General features: G+C 41.1%; 1 long non-coding RNA gene and 1 pseudogene across 1 annotated transcript; one reads left to right on the forward strand and one right to left on the reverse strand.

Annotated features, from left to right (window-relative positions):
- Nucleotides 1-248: 248 nt before the first annotated feature.
- On the forward strand, nucleotides 249-14,802 carry LINC03020 (long intergenic non-protein coding RNA 3020). The gene is made up of 4 exons (NR_110653.1): nucleotides 249-960; nucleotides 7,208-7,278; nucleotides 9,837-10,423; nucleotides 13,806-14,802. It is a non-coding gene; the product is annotated as a long intergenic non-protein coding RNA 3020 (long non-coding RNA).
- RN7SL203P (RNA, 7SL, cytoplasmic 203, pseudogene) lies at nucleotides 9,307-9,602 on the reverse strand (annotated as a pseudogene).
- Nucleotides 14,803-18,290: the final 3,488 nt, after the last annotated feature.

An 18,290-nucleotide genomic window follows, 5' to 3' on the forward strand; every position in this document is an offset into this window, starting at 1 on the left:
CCCAATTTTTCCTGTGTTTTCAAATAGAGATGCTAAGCTTTATTTCTCATACTACTTATTTGTTGGGTCCTGCTCACAGGACTGGAGGAGTGAGGTCAGTATGATATGGAGTGCTGGGAAGGGAAAAGCGTGGTCCCTTTAAATGATGCGGAATGGAGGAAGGGAAGTGCTGGGTAGAGAAAGGCGGGTCCCTGGCTAAGGCTCCTCCCCGACGAACCCCATTCCTGCTTTCCCGCTCAAATGTTGCATTTTCTAAGACCTCCCTGGCCCGCCATACGCCGATCCTGAACCTACGAAAACCCAAGACTGCGGGCACGGTGGCTCATGCCTGTAATCCCAGCACTTTGGGAGGCCGAGGCGGGCAGATCACGAGGTCAAGAAGTCGAGACCAGCCTTGCTAACATGGCGAAACCCTGACTCTACTGAAAATACAAAAATTAGCTGGGCGTGATGGCGTGCGCGCCTGTAGTCCCAGCTGCTCGGGAGGCTGAGGTAGGAGAATCGCTTCAATCCGGGAGGTGGAGGTTGCGGTAAGCAGAGATTGCGCCACTGCACTCTAGCCTGGCGACAGAGACTCCTTCAAAAACAACAACAACAACAACAACAACAACAAAACAAAACCTCCCAAGACCCTAGTGGGCAGACACACAGCCAGCCAGACATGGAGAGGAGCACATTAGCAGAAGAAGACGCAAGTGGCTGGTCCTCGAGAGGACGTTGAGAGGAGCATGCCAGCAGAAGAGCACACAACGACAGGCACCGACACACCACCGGCAGGCCATGCACCAGCAGAATGATGCGGAGTTTGACGGGGCAGTCAGAGAAGAGCCTGGGCCGCCAAGGGGCCCGACTCCAGGGGAAAACCATCTCCCTTCTGGCTCCCCCATCTGCTGAGAGCTACTTCTACTCAATAAAACCTTGCACTCATTCTCCAAGCCCACGTGTAATCCGATTCTTCAGGTAAGCCAGGGCAAGAAACCCCAGGATACAGAAATCCTTCTGTCCTTGTGATAAGAAAGGGGGTGTAATTGAGCTAACACAAACCGCCTATAGATGGCAACCTAAAAGAGCATCCTGTAACACACGCCCGCCCACTGGGGCTTCAGGAGCTGTAAATATTCACCCCTAGACACTGCTGTGCGATCGGAGCCCCACAGCCTGCCCGCCTGTATGCTCCCCTAGAGGTCTGAGCAGCAGGGCACTGAAGAATCGAGCCACACCTCATCACACACCCTGCGAGGGGGACAAGGGAGCTTTTCCCATATCAAGTAGATTGCCCTGGTGCTGCAGAAGCAGGAAAAACAGGACCTGCCCATACCCAAGAGCCCGGCAACTCTGGCTAGAGTGAGGCCTGAAATTGTGTCCGGAATTGGTGGGTTCTTGGTCTCACTGGCTTCCTCTCAAAATCACGCTCAAGAGACGCCACAGTTAGAGGTAATGGCACCTCTTTTTTTTTTTTAATTTTTAATTATTTATTTTTTGTGAACTGGGGTCTGGCTCTGTCACCCAGGCTGGAGTACAGTGGTGTGATCATAGCTCACTGCAATCTCGAACTTCTGGGCTCAAGTAATTCTCCTGTCTCAGCGCCTGAAGTTGCTGGGATTATAGGCAGGAGCCGCTGCTACTGGGTTTACTTTTTAAATTGTGGTAAAATACACATAACATAAAATTTACCATCCTAATCACTTTTAAGTATACAGTTCAGAGGTATTAAATACACTTAAAATGTTGTGCAACCAGCACCGCCACCCACTTCTGTAATTCTTTTCATCTTGCTGTTAAAATTATGAGAGGCCATTGTTTTGGACCTAGGCCAAATCAGATCAGACCTCTTTCTGCACTAGGCCCCAACAGACCAGACCAAATCAAAATGGAGTCACTCATGCTAAATGAGACATAATCAAAATGAAACTAAGGAAGCTGCAAAGCTTTGCTGCCATTTTTAGATTACTACTTTCCTGATTCAGCATTTTCTTGGTTACAACAAAAACAGACCAGTTTTTTTTTCTCACCTGAAAACAGGAGATTCCAGCATAAAGAGGTCCCTTCTGTTCTAACCCTTACCAAAAAAAACAAAACAAAACAAAAAAAAAACAAACCTGAAGTCCTGGTTCTCACATTTAAAAACTCACTGTTTTGCTATTTCCCACTGAGATTTGAGACCAAATAAGTACACTGACAATGGTGACAGAGTGACATCAATGTCTAAAGTTTTGGCCAATCAAAACTGAGAGGTTGACCAAAAGGGGGCAATTGTTAAATTAAGTTTTGCCTAAAGCTGCCTCCTTACATATTTTAAGTTTGGTCTAAATGTTTCTCCATACACAGTGAACTGTAACCTGACTGGAGGTGTAAACAGACTGTAACCTACTCTTGTGCCAATCATCCAGTTTTGGCCAATCACAGGTAGCCAACTGATCGAATGTGTTCAACACCCAGCTGTAACCAATCAGGCTGTTTCTGTACCTCACGTGTGTTTTCTGTATGTCACTTGCATTTTTCTGTGAAAAATCCTCTCTGACTGCGAGGCAGTGCCAGAGTTGCTCTTAACTTATTCAAGGAGGTCGGGGAGTCTGCATGGTTCTTGAATTGTTCTTTGCTGAATTAAACTCTGTTAAATTGTCTAAAGTTTTTTTTTAACATTGCAAAACTGAAACTGTACATCCATTAAACACTAACTCCCCATTCCCTTCTCCCCCCAGCCCCAGACGACCATCATTCTACTTTCTGTCTCTATGATTTTGATTACTCTAAGTATTATTGGTACCCTTTATGTAGCACCTTGGTGACTGAAGACCAGGTTCAGGGAGGTTTTTGTGTTTTGGTTTTGCTTTTTGTTTGTTCTTTTTTTTGAGACAGGGTCTCACTCTGTCACCCAGGGTAGAGTGAGTGGTGTGATCACAGCTCACTGTAGCCTTGAGCTTCTGGGCTGAAGCGATCCTCCCACCTCAGCCTCCTGAGTAGCTGGGTCTATGTGCATGTGCCACCATGCCCAACTAATTTTTTAATTTTTTTGTAGAGGTGTGGTGTCTTACTGTGTGGCCCAGGTTGGTCTCAGACTCCTGGCTGCAAGCAATCCTCTCACCTCAGCCTCTCAAAGTGTTGGGATTACAGGTATGAGCCACCACACCCAGCCAGGCTCAGGTTCCTAATGTTGGTTATCCATCTATGAGTACCAACATGCAGCAGTGGTAATTATATTAAAACTTACTATAATTTTAATTAATCTTTTGTTTTTGTTTTTGTTTTTTTTTTTAAGACAGAGTCTCGCTCTTTTGCCTAGCCTGCAGTGCAGAGTGGCACGATCTCGGCTCACTGCAACCTCTGTCTCCTGGGTTCAAGCCATTTTCCTGCCTCAGCTTCCTGTAGCTGGGAGTACAGGCATGTGCCACCACACCCAGCTAATTTTTTTTTTTTTGTATTTTTAGTAGAAACAGGTTTTCGCCATGTTGGCCAGGCTGGTCTCGAACTCCAGACCTCAAGTGATCTGCCCGCCTTGGCTTCCCAAAGGGCTGGGATTACAGGCATAAGCCACTGCGCTCGGCCTGATTTTCATACATAGTACATATGTATATATATATATATTTAATATAATTTTCAAAATCTGAGCATTATTATATTACAGTTTGCAAGATCTTAGCATTATCATAATATCTTTTTTATTTTGTCTTAGGCCTCTCCTGCCAGTTCTAAAAACTAGTAGAATAAAAACCTTAGGTACTAAGTTATACTTCGTTTACCATTTTCTCTAATTTATTATTTCAACTCAGAATCACAAAAGAATGCTCATTCAAACACAGTGGTAATATGACAGTGAGTAGCACTTGAGAAACACAAGCCAGACACAGTGGCTCACACCTGTAATTCCAGCACTTTGGGAGGCTGAGGTGGGAGGATTGCTTGAGCTCAGGAGTTTAAGACTAACCTGAGCAATATGACAAAACCCAGTATCAACAAAAAATACAAAAAAAAATTATTTATTTGGGCATGGTGATGAGTGACTGTATTCCCAGCTATTCTAGAGGCTCAGGCAAGAGGATGGCTTGAACCCAGGAGGCGAAGGTTGCAGTGAGCCAAGATCACGCCACTATACTCCAGCTTGGACAACAGGGCAAGACCCTAAGAAAAACAAAAACAAGCCACCTTTCCATGTGGATTATATTCCTAGGCAATTTACTATACGTGGAAATAAAGTGTATCAACTATTATTTTCTCCCAGAAACACTGCTGTAACAGAAGGGTAAAGTTCCTGACCTAGGGCCTTATGCCAACTTTTACTAAATGCAGGACTTAATAAACTATAAATGATATATTTTAGTTTCATAGCATAAAGCTTTCTAACACACACACATAAATCAATTAAGTAGTGCTACAAGTAGTCAATAAACATAAAATCCATTTAATATGGTGCAGTCTGTTTGACCACATCTTCCTGCCAACTATTACACTGAAGCAAAACAACTCCAATGGGCAGGCTTATTCATTTTATGGATTTCAGGATGATTTCCTTGAGGACATTTTGACGAGTATATTGAAGGAAAGTTTGGGGCAGTTATGTGATGCCGTTCTGGAAAAGAAAAAAAGTGAACTCAGGAGTGATTACTTGCCATTCCCTCGTTCTCTGATAGTCAATTTTCCTGTTGTAAAACCTAGGGATTAGAACTAATCACAGCCCACTAGTGTGGTTAAGGTTGGGATTCATTTTCTCAAAAGGGGAGAGCAACATATGTTCATGTGAGAAACTGCCTGTTTACGTGTCAGAAGTTACAACATGGGTGTAATTGGCAAAGGGCTGTAAGTGTGAATGGCTATGAGTACAAATCACTGTAAGGATTGCTTGCATGATTTCCCCCTCCAATTTATCACTGAGTGGAAGAAACATGAGCGGGGAGATCTTGGTTCTTGTCATCCCAGTTAATAAATTCAAAGCAAAAATGGGCAGACTCACAGAAGGCCTGAGAGTCCTGAACTAGACCTTCAAATAATCCCAAATGTCATGTCAGACTACTGTTCTGTGATAAGAAATGGTCAGTTATCTTTTAAGAACCCAATAAACATCACGCAAAGTGGATCTCTAATAATTATTCTCCAAATCTTGTGATAAAATACTGAGCTTTATGTCAAGTCAGCCCTGTGTGGCAGGACACCGTGAGCAGTACAATTTGTTCTACCTCAGGTTGAGGGATAAAAGAAACCACTCATTTAATCTTGTATTACATCAAAATTGATTTGGTCAAAAGTCACAAATTAGTTCAGTCATTTTTGACAGCATGATTTTTATCAGAGGACCAAAAGTTTGGTTAAATGATGGGAGAGAAGGGGAGAAGATTTTGTTTCCAATCTTGGGAAAAAGATCTGTGCATCAAAATTATTCACCTATCATTTTCAGATACCATTGTTCACAATAACTCTCCTAGAGCTGTGTTTATTTTTTGCAGAATGCACTCTGTCAGTTACATTGATCTTAAAGGGCTTAGTTATTCCTTTCCTTGCTGTGCAACCAACTCCACCAAAGTTGTGTTTATCTCTGCTTGTTTTCTAATCCAGTGGAACCAAGGAGGCAAGATGGTCAGGTATGATATGATTTCCCCTTAATATGGAAACTGCTGTTTATCTAGTATGTTGCAAAAGTAGTAGCCTTGCTCTCTAATCACCTAAAACATACCTGAAAGCAAGAAGGTTCTCTCCCAAAAGCTGGTAAACACAATGTCACAAACCAACCTGTCTGCCATAAAGGCACTGGTGATGTCCACAACGTGTCCTTCAGGAGGTCAAACAAGTGACACTCTCAGATTCTGAAAGTGGAGAGCCACCACCCCTTTAGGCCCTTCTAAGTATGGAAGAGAGGAAGGGAACCAGCGATTAGTTTTACTTCTTTAGAAAATCCAGCTCTTTTTCAGATTATTTCTTTTTTGCCTTCATCCCAGAGAGTAAAATTCCTTTGAAACAAGGAAGCATTTCTTTCAAGAACATCTTTACCTGCTTTAGCTTTTGTTTTCTGATAGTCAACCCCACCCATTGTTTCACTTGACAAGTAAGGGAAAGAAAGATTTTTTTTTTAACTCATCTAAAGAAGGAGAACCTGTATGGATGGATCTTGAAACCAGTGGAGTGGGTGCCCACTGTGGGCAGGACTAGGAGCAAGGAGGTGCACTAAAGCCAGCCTTTACATGGAGCCGCCTCACCCAAATTCAAAATCTGTTTAACCATCAACTTGCCTTAAACAAGAAGATAAGTCTTTTAAGCAAAGCAATGGAACTCATTAAGAGGTACTTTTAAGACATCTCTCAAATGTACATAATAAGCTGTATTAAGGATCATGAAATAATAGTATCTACCATTTACTGAGCTCTCATTTTGCACCAGGTGCTTTACATATCTCATCTCACTTGCATAGCAGCATCTCACTTGCATAGTTATTATCATTACCCCCATTTTACACATGGGCCTGTGGTCTCATCCAGGCATGGCATCAGTGACCAAGCTGGGATTTGAACCTAGAAATTTATGCTTTTGCTGCTATACCAAATGATGTCCCTCAAAAGAAATAATCTACGAAGCTGCTTTGTAAACAGTAAAGTTTCAGAATATTTTATAGTGACAGCTTAAACATATTCTGCAAAGTTTGGCCAGAAGGCAAAACAGGACTCTGTTCTTCAAAGTGCAACGAGCCTGGGTTTAGTTGTCACTCACTGCCAGGGATAGGCTCATTCTTTGCCATTGATCCCTGTGGGAACTGTGATTGTCTTCATTTGTAAAATTATGATAATAACTACTTAAAAAGTTATTTTGAGGGACAAATAGATAATGGATGTAAAATACTTCCTGGCACATCATAGGCAAAGCAGGTATACTTGATCAATAAATGTTCCTTTATCTCTTTCCCTCACAACTGTCAAAAACAACAAAGTGTGTCCTCTAGCTTGGCTAATACCATGCATGTCTCACCTCTTCAGTCACCTAAGCTGAACTTTGAATCATCCTTGATGCATTCAAAAAAACGTTTTTTGAGCACTTACCTTACACCTAGCAGTATTTTAGGCATGGGAGATCTAGGTGTGTAGAAAATATCTGAATAGAATTTAAATATTTTTTCATCTCCCCAGCCTCCCACCCAGATAATCATCAAAGTCCTGTTCATTGTACGTGTGTTAGAAATTGAGATTACCATCTTGCCTTAAATTTGCCCTATTCTGTTCTTTCCTAGTGTCACCTCCCAAATGTGGAAATGCATTGTCTTTCTTCTTTCCTAGACCAGTGGTCCTCAAACTTGAGCAGGTATAAGAATCATCATCTGGGTGCAGGGGCTCACACCTTAGTCCCAGCACTTTGGGAGGCTGAGTGGGTTGGATTGCTCAAGGCCAGCCTGGGCAACATAGTGAAACCTTGTTTCTACGAAAAATAAAAGATTAGCCAGGTATGGTGGTCCGCCTGCAGTCCCAGCTACTTGGCAGCCTGGGGCAGGAGGATGACTCGAGCCCAGGGATTCGTGGCTGCAGTAAGCTATGATCATGCCACTGCACCGCAGCCTGAGTAACAGGGTGAGACCCTGTCTCAGAAACAAAAACCAAAAAAATCGTCATCTGGAGAGTGTGTTGAACCTCAGATTGCTGCCTCTCCCATCCTCTGGAATTCCCAGGTGATGGTAATGCTGCTGGTCCAGGGACTACACTTTGAAACCACTGGCCCAGACTATTACCTCACTTACCTCTTCATCTCTTCACAAGTAACCTCATCATTTTCTAATCCAGGAATCAACAAACCCTGGCCCTTTGAGCCAAATCAAGCCCACAGGTTGTCTTCATCAATAAAGTTTTATGGGAACACAACCATGCCCATTTGTTTACACATTGTCCATGTCTGCTACGAGGCAGAAATAAGTAGTTGTGACACAGATCATATGACCCACAAAGCCTAAAATGTTTATGATCTGACCCTTTACAGAAAATAATTTTTTGGACCTCATCTTTACCATGCTACAAAAATGGTCTTGCCAAAAATACACCCATCCAGTCACCCTCTAACTTAAAAGATGGTTTCTCATTGCCTGCATAGTCAAGTCCCATGTTTTCTATGGTGTGACAACCCGTCCAACTCTGTTTTACCTATCTCTTTGTCCAATAATTTAACCATCCTTAACTTCTTAGTTTTCTTCAAGCAGTTCAAATCCTCCATGGTTTCCAAGTCTTCCCACATCTTGTCGCTCTATGTACAATATCCTTCTCTCATTTCTTCACAGGATAAGCAACCACATCACATGAGTTTAATTTTTTTTTCTTAGATCTACTCATTTGTCAGTTTAATTTTTGAGATTTCAACTATTCACTCTGTCTCTCACTCAAAGAGACAGGGAGAATGAGGACAATACTGCCTGCCCATTCATTTCACATAATGAGTTTATGTTTGTGAATGAACGTGAGATGCGAGACTTTACCCTACCATTCCCTCAGTCCACTCAGACCCCCGGTGCCCGTCCTGTGTTAGTGTGAGGCTTTCACCACAGAGGGTGTAATCCCAGTGTTGAAGGATAACCGTTTTTCATACAACAGAGCCAATAAACACAAGCCAACTTCTGCATCTGGTGCTCAAAGAAGCAGCAACAATCTGTTCCAAAGCTGGAGGAAAACTGGCTGTGTGGGGCTTACTGGATACTGAATATCTAGATACTAAATACCTAGGTGCTGTACTTTATGGGTGATTTAAGGGTTCACTTCAAACATCAGCATTTATTTGTTTATATTTTATTATTTTTTATTTTTTTAATTTTTTGAGATGGAGTTTTGCTCCTGTTGCCCAGGCTGGAGTGCAATGGCATGATCTCGGCTCACTGCAACCACTGCCTCCCAGGTTTAAGTGGTTCTCCTGCCTCAGCCTCCCGAGTAGCTGGGACTACAGGAGCACGCCGTCATGCCTAATTTTTGTATTTTTAGTAGAGATGGGGTTTCACCATGTTGGCCATGCCTGGTCTCGAACTCCTGACCTCAGGTGATCCACCTGCCTTGGCCTCCCAAAGTGCTGGGATTACAGGTGTGAGCCACCGCACCCGGCCAACATCAGCATTTAGAACCTAAACCCTAAATAAAATCTAACTCACTCTTTAAGCTTTGGCACAAATGTCGTTTCTTATTTGCTCTGATGTGGGTCAGTCTTCCTTCATGCTCCCGTAAGTATCAGAGTTCCTTCAATCATTTGCACATATCTGTGTTATAATGTTGAACTGTAATTATTTATTTAATTTTCAGTCTCTCTCCTTTAGGCAGTGAGCTCTCCAAGGACAAAGGCATATTATTTGTTTAGCTAGCTTTTAGAGATAGGGTCTTGCTAAGTTTCCCAGGCTGGAGTGAAGTGGCTATTCATAGGTGAGATCCCACTATTAATTAGCACAGAAATTTTGACCTACTTCATTTCTGACCTGGGCCAGTTCACCTCTCCTTAGGCAACCTAGTGGGCCTCACTCCTGGGAGGTCATGATATTGATGCCAGTTTAGTGTGGACACCCAGTGAGCATAGCTCACTACAGCCCAGAAGTTCTGGGCTCAAGCTGTCCTCCTGCCTCAGCTCCCAAGTATCTGGGACTACAGGTACATGCCACCATGTCCAGCAACAAAGACATATTTTAGTTATCCTGTGTTTGTGTCTGTCTCAATACCTAGCCTTAGTATAAACATTTAGCAAATGTTTATTGATGAAATGGATGAAGTCCCACCTCCCATTTTGGACCACTTGCCCTTCTCAGAAATGATCTATGAACTCTCACTGAATGTTCAGTTAACGTCCATGGTTTATCATTTCAATGCATTTTAATTCTTCCAGTATTCATTTTTCTTCTCCACTAGGTTTAAGCATGGTCATAGCAGAATCAATGTGCTCACCCCATCATGAAAAAAAAAATGTGTTAATGAATTGATTACTACTTTGAGTGTGCCATATTTTAAAGACGAAGAGAAACTAATCAAGTTAGTTTTTATTTGGTCAGAGGCTTGTTTGTGCCTGCTTATCTAAAGTTATAAAGGCCCCAAATATGGCTCCGTGTTGCAGAGGGACTGTCTCTTCTTATATCGACAGAGCCCATATTCACAATGTATCACACTTACCTCGATGTATTGTCTGGAGTTTCCTAGGCTGTGTCCTTTGCCTGGAATGCTCTCTCTTGCTGGCTGGCTTCTTCCCACCAGCTGTGGCCAGGGCTGCTCCTTATTCCTTCGTCAAAACTCCGTCTGCTGGGTGTGGTGCCTCACACCTGTAATCCCAGCACTTTGAGAGGCCAAGGTGGGAGTATCGTTTGAGCCCAGGAGTTCAAGACAAGCCTGGACAACAGAGCAAGACCCTGTCTCTACCAAAGAAAAGAAAAGAAAAGAAAAGAAACAGCCACTTTCTCTTCCATGAGCCAGTTTATGTTTTCTTCACGGCATTTGTTACAAATGTAAGTTAAAAGTCCTAAATACATATTTGTTCAATGAATGTCGAAGTGCTCTGACCTTATATTCAATTTTCCTATCCAAGGCAAAAACCATTATGGGAAAAATAGTAGAAAATTGGCTACTTAAAAGTTAACCACACTTAAGAAAGTCTAGCATGCAAGGTAGTGATTATCCTGGAGCATTCAAAAGGCATTTGGGTCTCATTTACGAGGGGTTTTCTGCAGACCTCAGTTTCTTAAATTTTAGTCAATATATTTTTAAAGTAGGCATAATTTATCACACGCTTTTGCAGCTTTACTCTTTATAACTCTAAGAAACTGTAGAAAATGTTTTCTTTCCCTGTCTCCTACATGTTTGAAGATGAAATTGAAAATTCAGCCAATAAAACTGTGCTAAAAAGTTTGACACTAAGAAAAAGAAAGGCCCCTCTCCTGGTGAGTTTCACTGTGAGATGGCTGGAAATGTTGATTGGTGGATCTGTGTTTGTTCGTTAGTTTGGGGCCTGGACACTGAGAGTTAAGTCCACTTAGAGATGTCAGGGAACCCATACTTTTGGTTAAAAGCCAAAAGGGAATGTGGGGAGGGAGTTACGGACTGAAATAGGCGGTAGGGTTTTCTCCCTGTGTGTCCCCCTTTCTCTGTCCCTTGTTTGGTTTATGCATAGATTTTTGTTGTGTATCCTTCAATCCCTTCCACATTACCCTTCTCTCTTTCACCCTTAAACTGAGATTTAGAACTAAAATGAGAGTTTACGAAGGTACTGGCTATAATTATTTTATTTACTATTTATTAATTTTTTTGAGACAGGATTTCTCTCTGTTGCCCAGGCTGGAGTACAGTGGTGCAATCATGGCTCACTGCAACTTTGAGCTCCCAGGCTCATGCAATTCTGCCACCTGTGCCTCCTGAGTAGCTGGGACGACAGGCACATGCCACCATGCCCAGCTAATCTTTTTACTTTTTGTAGAAATAGGGTCTCACTATGTTGCCTAGGCCGGCCTTGGACTCCTGGGCTCAAGCAATTCTCATGCCTCAACCTCCCAAAGTGCTAGGATTACAGGTGTGAACCACCGCGCCTGGCCTATAATTATGAAAAAAAACCCCACTATTTTCTGATATGATTTTTAATTTATTCCTCTAATATAATATTCTATTACTCAGGTTTACTTTAGACAAAAACTACCTCCTTTGCTTACTATTTTTAAATGGTTATTGAAGGAGTCAATAGCCTGCAAATATGTGCATTTCTTTGACCCAGAAACTTTGCTTCTAGGAATTTGTATTAAGGAAATAATTCAACCAGTAGGTAAAGAACTTGTATAAGCCTGTTTATTCTAGACCTGTTCCATCTTATTGAAAAATTCATACACAACCTAAATGTCCAACAATAATGTTGATTAAATAAATGTAAGTATATCCATACAATTAAATGTTATACAGCTATTAAAATTAATGATGTCAGCAGGGCACAGTGGCTCACGCCTGTAATCCTAGCACTGCCGAGGCGGGCAGATCAGTTGAGGTCAGGAGTTTGAGACCAGCCTGGCCAACATGATGATGTTGGCTGGGCGCAGTGGCTCACGCCTGTAATTCCAGCACTGCTGAGGCGGGCAGATCACTTGAGGTCAGGAGTTTGAGACCAGCCTGGCCAACATGGCGAAACCCCGTCTCTACTAAAAATACAAAAATTAGCCAGGCATGATAGCACATGCTCGTAATCCCAGCTACTCAGGAGGCTGAGGCAAGAGAATTGCTTGAACCCGGGGGGCAGAGGTTGCAATGAGCCAAGATCACGCCACTGCACTCCAGCCTGGGTGACAGAGACAGACTGTCTCAAAAAATAAAATAAATGATGTAGATATTTATTCCCATAAAAGATATTTATGCCATATAGTACAATAATAAAAGTAGTTTGCTAAATGGTATGCATCATATGATCTCTACTTTAAATGAATGTATGTATACACACACATAAATTATATAGTGATTACTTCTGGTGATGTGATTATGAGTGAATTTTCTTTTTCGTTCACATGAAATGTCTAATTTTTCTATAATTAGAAAAACTGTTACTTCTATAATAAAAATAGTTTACTATAACCAACAAAACTTGGTGCTTATTTTATGTGACAGTCTATGAATTTGAATAGAAAATGGCATCCATTTGTGTTCTAATTAATGTTGTAATCCTGTTCTTTCACTCTCTTTTCAACTTTTTTGCTTCTCCTCAATTAAAGAAATTCTCGTGTACTGAAGAAACCATTGGTGAGAAACTTGTCAAGGTCTCTGGAGCTCAAATGTGCCTTAAAATAAAAAGGAGATAAAATGAAAAATTCACTACTCCAGGGATCTGTTCTATAGTGGAAACGCTCCTTATACTATGAGGATTTTCTTTCCATCTATTTGATTTTAATGGCTTTTAACTTCGAAATGTCTGAGGAGTAGATGTCTAAGGGTTTTGGTTCATTCAATGTGCTCTCCTCACCTGGACATGCAGGGACATGAGTGACTGCGAATGTGGACCTTGTTAAGGCCGTATGCCCATAAGCAAAGGAAATGTGAAATTGAGAAAACTTTCCAAGGCCTCACAACTTTCCAGGCCTCCCCTGACCTATTTGTATTTTCCAGACACACAACACCTTCCTCTGAATTATCCTCATTATTCCCAAGTAGCCCTGGATTCCACCTCCTGCCCTTTGTCGATGGCCAAACTAGAGACCTGGCTTGGATAGTGCTAGCAATAAGCTCGCGGTTGGCCACAGCTGGAGGAAAGCCTTCACTCAGGAGATACATGGACTTCTAATATCTTCTAATATTGCAACCCCAAACGTGAGGTTAAAGGAGCTGAGTGAAGGATCAGGGCCTGCCAATTGCACGTGCTATTTTTAGCTCCTGTATTTGGTCCAGGTGACCTGGGGGACCACTCGTCCTCTCTGCACATTGGTTTTTCAATTGACAAAATGGACAGTGTACTGTTGTAGGCAGGAGAACTTCTTATTTAAAGGCAAAGGAAAGAATGCCATAAGCACAGTAGGCTCAGCAGAGCTAATAATGATGCGGGGGCCCAGAATTCTTGCCTAGATTTTATCTCTGGCTTGTTGTGTGTCCCTGAGCACTTAGGCTATTTCTGTGGCCTCATGCATAGACAGGTATAATACCCTGTTCTCTCCACTTTCATTATATGGGCACTGCGAGGATAAAATAGCTAGTTAATGAGATTTAAAATAGGAAGAAAATGTTTTGGAAGCCTTCAAAGTACTTGGAGATTTTCAGATTCTGATTAAATAGAAGGTATTGTTAGGAGAAAAATCTGGACAGTTCATATCATGTACGTATTGTTTCCTTGAGTGTTGTATTTATTGGGCAATTTTTTTTTCTTTTCAGCACAAATGTGGAGGAAAAATGAAGGCAAAGCAAAATAACAGGCAAGTCTGAAAACAAAAGTGTTGCCAGTCACGCTAAGCCTCAGGCACGCATTCTGAATGAAGCTAAAGTTTAAAGTCCCCTCTGATAGATTTGTGACTTAAATGTCCACACTAGCAAGTGTGTTTCTCACATGGAGAAGTAGCACGATTTTATGTCAGGAAAGGGATGAGAACATGCTTCTTGAACACATACAATGCTGAAGACATTTCCTGGAAAACCATTGGCCTTTGCTTAGGACAGTTGCATCACACAGAGATGTTTGTGGTTCAGATTTATAAGAAACATGGGAACTGAAGCCAAAGCACTACTTTTGCTCAGTATAACCAGGTGCCAGATCTAAAGTGTTAGGCAGGTTCCTATATGTATGTTAGAAAAAAGTTGCCCAAGTTTTGGACAATTCCTTTTCCATCTCTCTTACAAGTCAACAAATCGAAGCAATAAACTATTCTCTGAAGAAAACAAATTTATTTGGTTGATTCAAACTTTTAATGAGACTATTACTCCCCTGTGTGCCTTTCCTTTCTCTGGTTCTAGAAATACATCTAGAAAGGGGGAAAATGTTAATATATTTTCTACTGACTTTATATCACAAATGCTTAGCTTAGAGGGTGGACTCTGAGGAACAGTGTCCTTTCCAAATATTATAAAACTTTGTGTTCATTCTGGAAAAACAAACAAAATTAATCACAATGATTTCCTGCTTTGGAGCAATGAGAAATGGGAGGGAAACTTCACCTTTTCATAGCTTTTGATGTTTGCACCATGTGAATTACCCACCCCCAAATTTAAAATACGAATTTTTGAAAAAGTGTTTACCTCTGAGAAGAGAAACTAGTAGTGAAGAATGAGGAGCTGTAGATTTTTAACGATTCTGATGTATTTGCATTTTTCCCAATGTTCATGAATAAATAAATGTGCATTCATAATTAAAAAGAATAAACAACCTGGAAAAAACAAAAAAAGCTCTGCGTTCACTGATCTCTAAATAAGAAAAGATAAGACTTGTAGTGTGGCCTTGTACTTGTACATCTTTTCCATGTGCCAAAGAGCTACCCCATGGTCAAGCCAAGTGGTGATTATGTAGCTTTCTCTGAACAGACATAATAGGGCTACACATTCACTGTGAAAAAGCTGCAGACAGATGACACCAGTCAACAGAACACCCTACACAGAAACTGTAAAACCATTTTAACACTTACTTCAGATATTATTACATGTGACAAAGTATTTGAAAGATCAACCAAATAAACTGTTCCCAGGAAACATTTCCAATAGAATGCTTCTTGAATAATGTTGCTTTTCTTAGGTCAGTGGGAATTGAATTAAGACACTGAAACACAGAGTCAAGATAAGAACCAGTATTTTTAGCCGAATACTTTTATAGAAGCCTCCAGATACTATACTACTTCTCAATCCTTTTTTTCTTTTGCATAGAGAAAAAACTGAAATAGATTGTCTCCTTTATATGGCAGAGAATCTATATGGGGGTATTACAAATGCAACAAGTTTCCAAATTTGACAGCATATATCTATATAGCCAATTATCCATTTGTTCATTCATCACTTATCTTACTATGCACGAGGCTCTGAGATGCTGTGAAGATAGAGAAATGAATAAGACCCAGTTGTAGGAGGGAGTCTGATGTGAGCATCAGAGAGCAAGGGTCGTGTGACAAGGAAGGCATGGTACTGTAAAGCACAGGTGTACTCTTGAGGCAGGGAGGAAAGCAACACCTCTTGAGGAAGGTGGCCATGGAGCTTACAAAGACCAGCTACACCTACTATGTACCCGCAAAAATTAAAAATTAAAAAAAGAGCCATGCATATAAAGCACCTACTACACTCCCTGGCACGTAGTAAAGGACTGATAAGTCTTAGCTGTCATATAGAATGTAGTAGAAGAATGCCTGCGGTATTTTGGGAGCCTCTTGCAAGAATATGTAATTCAGTCTGAAAGTGGGAGAGAGAAAAAGACGAAGTAAATCCTAAGAAGATGTTCTTCAGGAGCTAATTGATCATTCTTAGAACTGTATTAAGTTCATAAACAATGAATTGATGACTTTAACTCAAAGGAAGGTTGGATTTTCTCCTGAGCTTGAGTTCAAGCAGGGATACTTCACCTATTACACTAGGAACAAAAAGGCCACGGCGTCCCATCCTTGGCCTGTAGCATTTTAGACTGGGTAATTCTTTGCTGTGGAGGGTTGTGCTGTGCATTGTAGGATGTTTGGCAGCCTTCCTGGTCTCTACCCACTAGAGATGCCAGAAACAGTTCCCTGGTTGTGACAACCAAAAATGTCTCTAGATATTGCCAAATGTCCCCTGGAGGTAAAAATCTCCCCCAGTGAAGAATCACTGCCTAAGACCAAGACCATTTCGTTAAGTATTTATAATATTTAGTTAGCTATTAAGCTGCAGATGGAAAATTAAGGTTCATAGAGAACCAACTTAAATATTTTCCTCTTATTTCTATGACTGCTAAATGTATCGTGATGAAAACTATCAAATGAACATGTCTGAAGACTAGCGTATTCTCATTTTCTACTTGCCAGTCATAACAGGGTCTGAGACATGCTCCAGGAAAATGGCTCAAATTTGACGTGGGCAACACTTATTTATGGAAGTGAGAACTTATCCTAGTTTCTAAATGCTTTTATCAAAGCATTAATAAAATAATAATACTTAAATATTATTAAGTATTTTATGAAGTTAAGCCTTTTTTGCAGAAACTAGATTATAGTATTTTAGACCATCAAGGTCACCATGACTTCCATATTCAATGTTGCCGACTAGTTCCCTGAGAACTCTCCCTGGCCTGTTGGCAGAAGGTCCTGGAGTAGAGACCCCTGCCTTTCATCATTGTCCTCTGCCCTTGATGAAAAACTGCAAGGCTGGGCACAGTGTCTCACGCCTGTAATCCCAGCACTTTGGGAGGCCGAGGTGGGCGGATCACCTGAGGTTGGCAGTTCAAGACTAGCCTGACCAACATGGAGAAACCCCATCTCTACTAAAAATACAGAATTAGCAGGGTGTGGTGGCACTTGCCTGTAATCCCAGCTGCTCGGGAGGCTGAGGCAGGAGAATCACTTGAACCCGGGAGGGGGAGGTTGCGGTGAGCCAAGATCGTGCCATTGTATTCCAGCCTCGGTAACAAGAGCAAAACTCCATATCAAAAAAAAGAAAGAAAGAAAGAAAAATTGCAAAAAGCAAGGGTGCTCTAGAGGCTTCTGGAAGATTTTCTGTTTATCTGCAAAGGTAATTCCATCCTGCCTTTTGTGGTCCTTCTAACTGCTTAAGCAAACATATGTAGTAAACCATGATTAACTGGAACTTACTATGTAACGAAAGAAGTTTAAAAAAGAAAAATTATTTTGTTTTTAAAAGAAAAAAGGAAATCAGAGAAAGCATGCTTATATTTAAAATTTATATTTTTGGCCAGGTGCAGTGTTTCACACCTATAATCCCAGCACTTTGGAAGGCCAAGGTAGGAGGATTGCTTGAAGCCAGGAGTTTAAGACCAGCCTGGGCAACGAAGTGAGACCCTGTCTCTCCAAAAAATAAAATCGAATATAATTAGCCAAGCTGGTGGTGCATGCCTGTAGTCCCAGCTACTCGGGAGGCTGAGGCAGGAGGATCATCTGAGTCTCAGAGTTCAAGGCTGCAGTGAGCTATGATTGCACCACTGCACTAGAGCCTGGGCAACAGAGTGAGACCTCATCTTGGGGAAAAAAATAATATTTTTTAAAAATAAAACTTTCAATACAAGAGCTAGATAAAAAATAATCAATCAAGGATATCCTTAATCACAATTTGTTGATGATACAGTTGTTGTTGTTGCCATTACATAAAGGATTAAAGTGTTTTTCTCTTTAGATGGTTTATACCATTTTTACTTCCAAAATGAGCTTGAGGTTTTTTTTTAAAAAAAAAAACAAACATATATGCATATACAAAGATGTTTATGTAGAAATGGCCCGCTTCCTTTTCTATAAGCACAAATTAGAGCATACTCTTCACATTGTTCAACAGATTATACTTTTTTACTTAACAATATATTGTGGAGGCAATGCTGTATCAATTCATAATGCTGGAATTCAGTCTTCTAAACAGTTGTATAGTATTCCATTGGATAAATGTACCATGTTTTTTTTTATTATTTTATTATTATTATACTTTAAGTTTTAGGGTACATGTGCACAATGTGCAGGTTTGTTACATATGTATACAAGTGCCATGTTGGTGTGCTGCACCCATTAACTCGTCATTTAGCATTAGGTATGTCTCCTAATGCTATCCCTCCGCCCTCCCTCTACCCCACAACAGTCCCCAGAGTGTGATGTTCCCCTTCCTGTGTCCATGTGTTCTCATTGTTCAGTTCCCACCTATGAGTGAGAACATGTGGTGTTTGGTTTTTTGTCCTTTCAATAGTTTGCTGAGAATGAT

This window comes from Homo sapiens, chromosome 8, assembly GCF_000001405.40.
Source record: "Homo sapiens chromosome 8, GRCh38.p14 Primary Assembly".
In the NCBI taxonomy this organism is placed as follows: domain Eukaryota; kingdom Metazoa; phylum Chordata; class Mammalia; order Primates; family Hominidae; genus Homo; species Homo sapiens.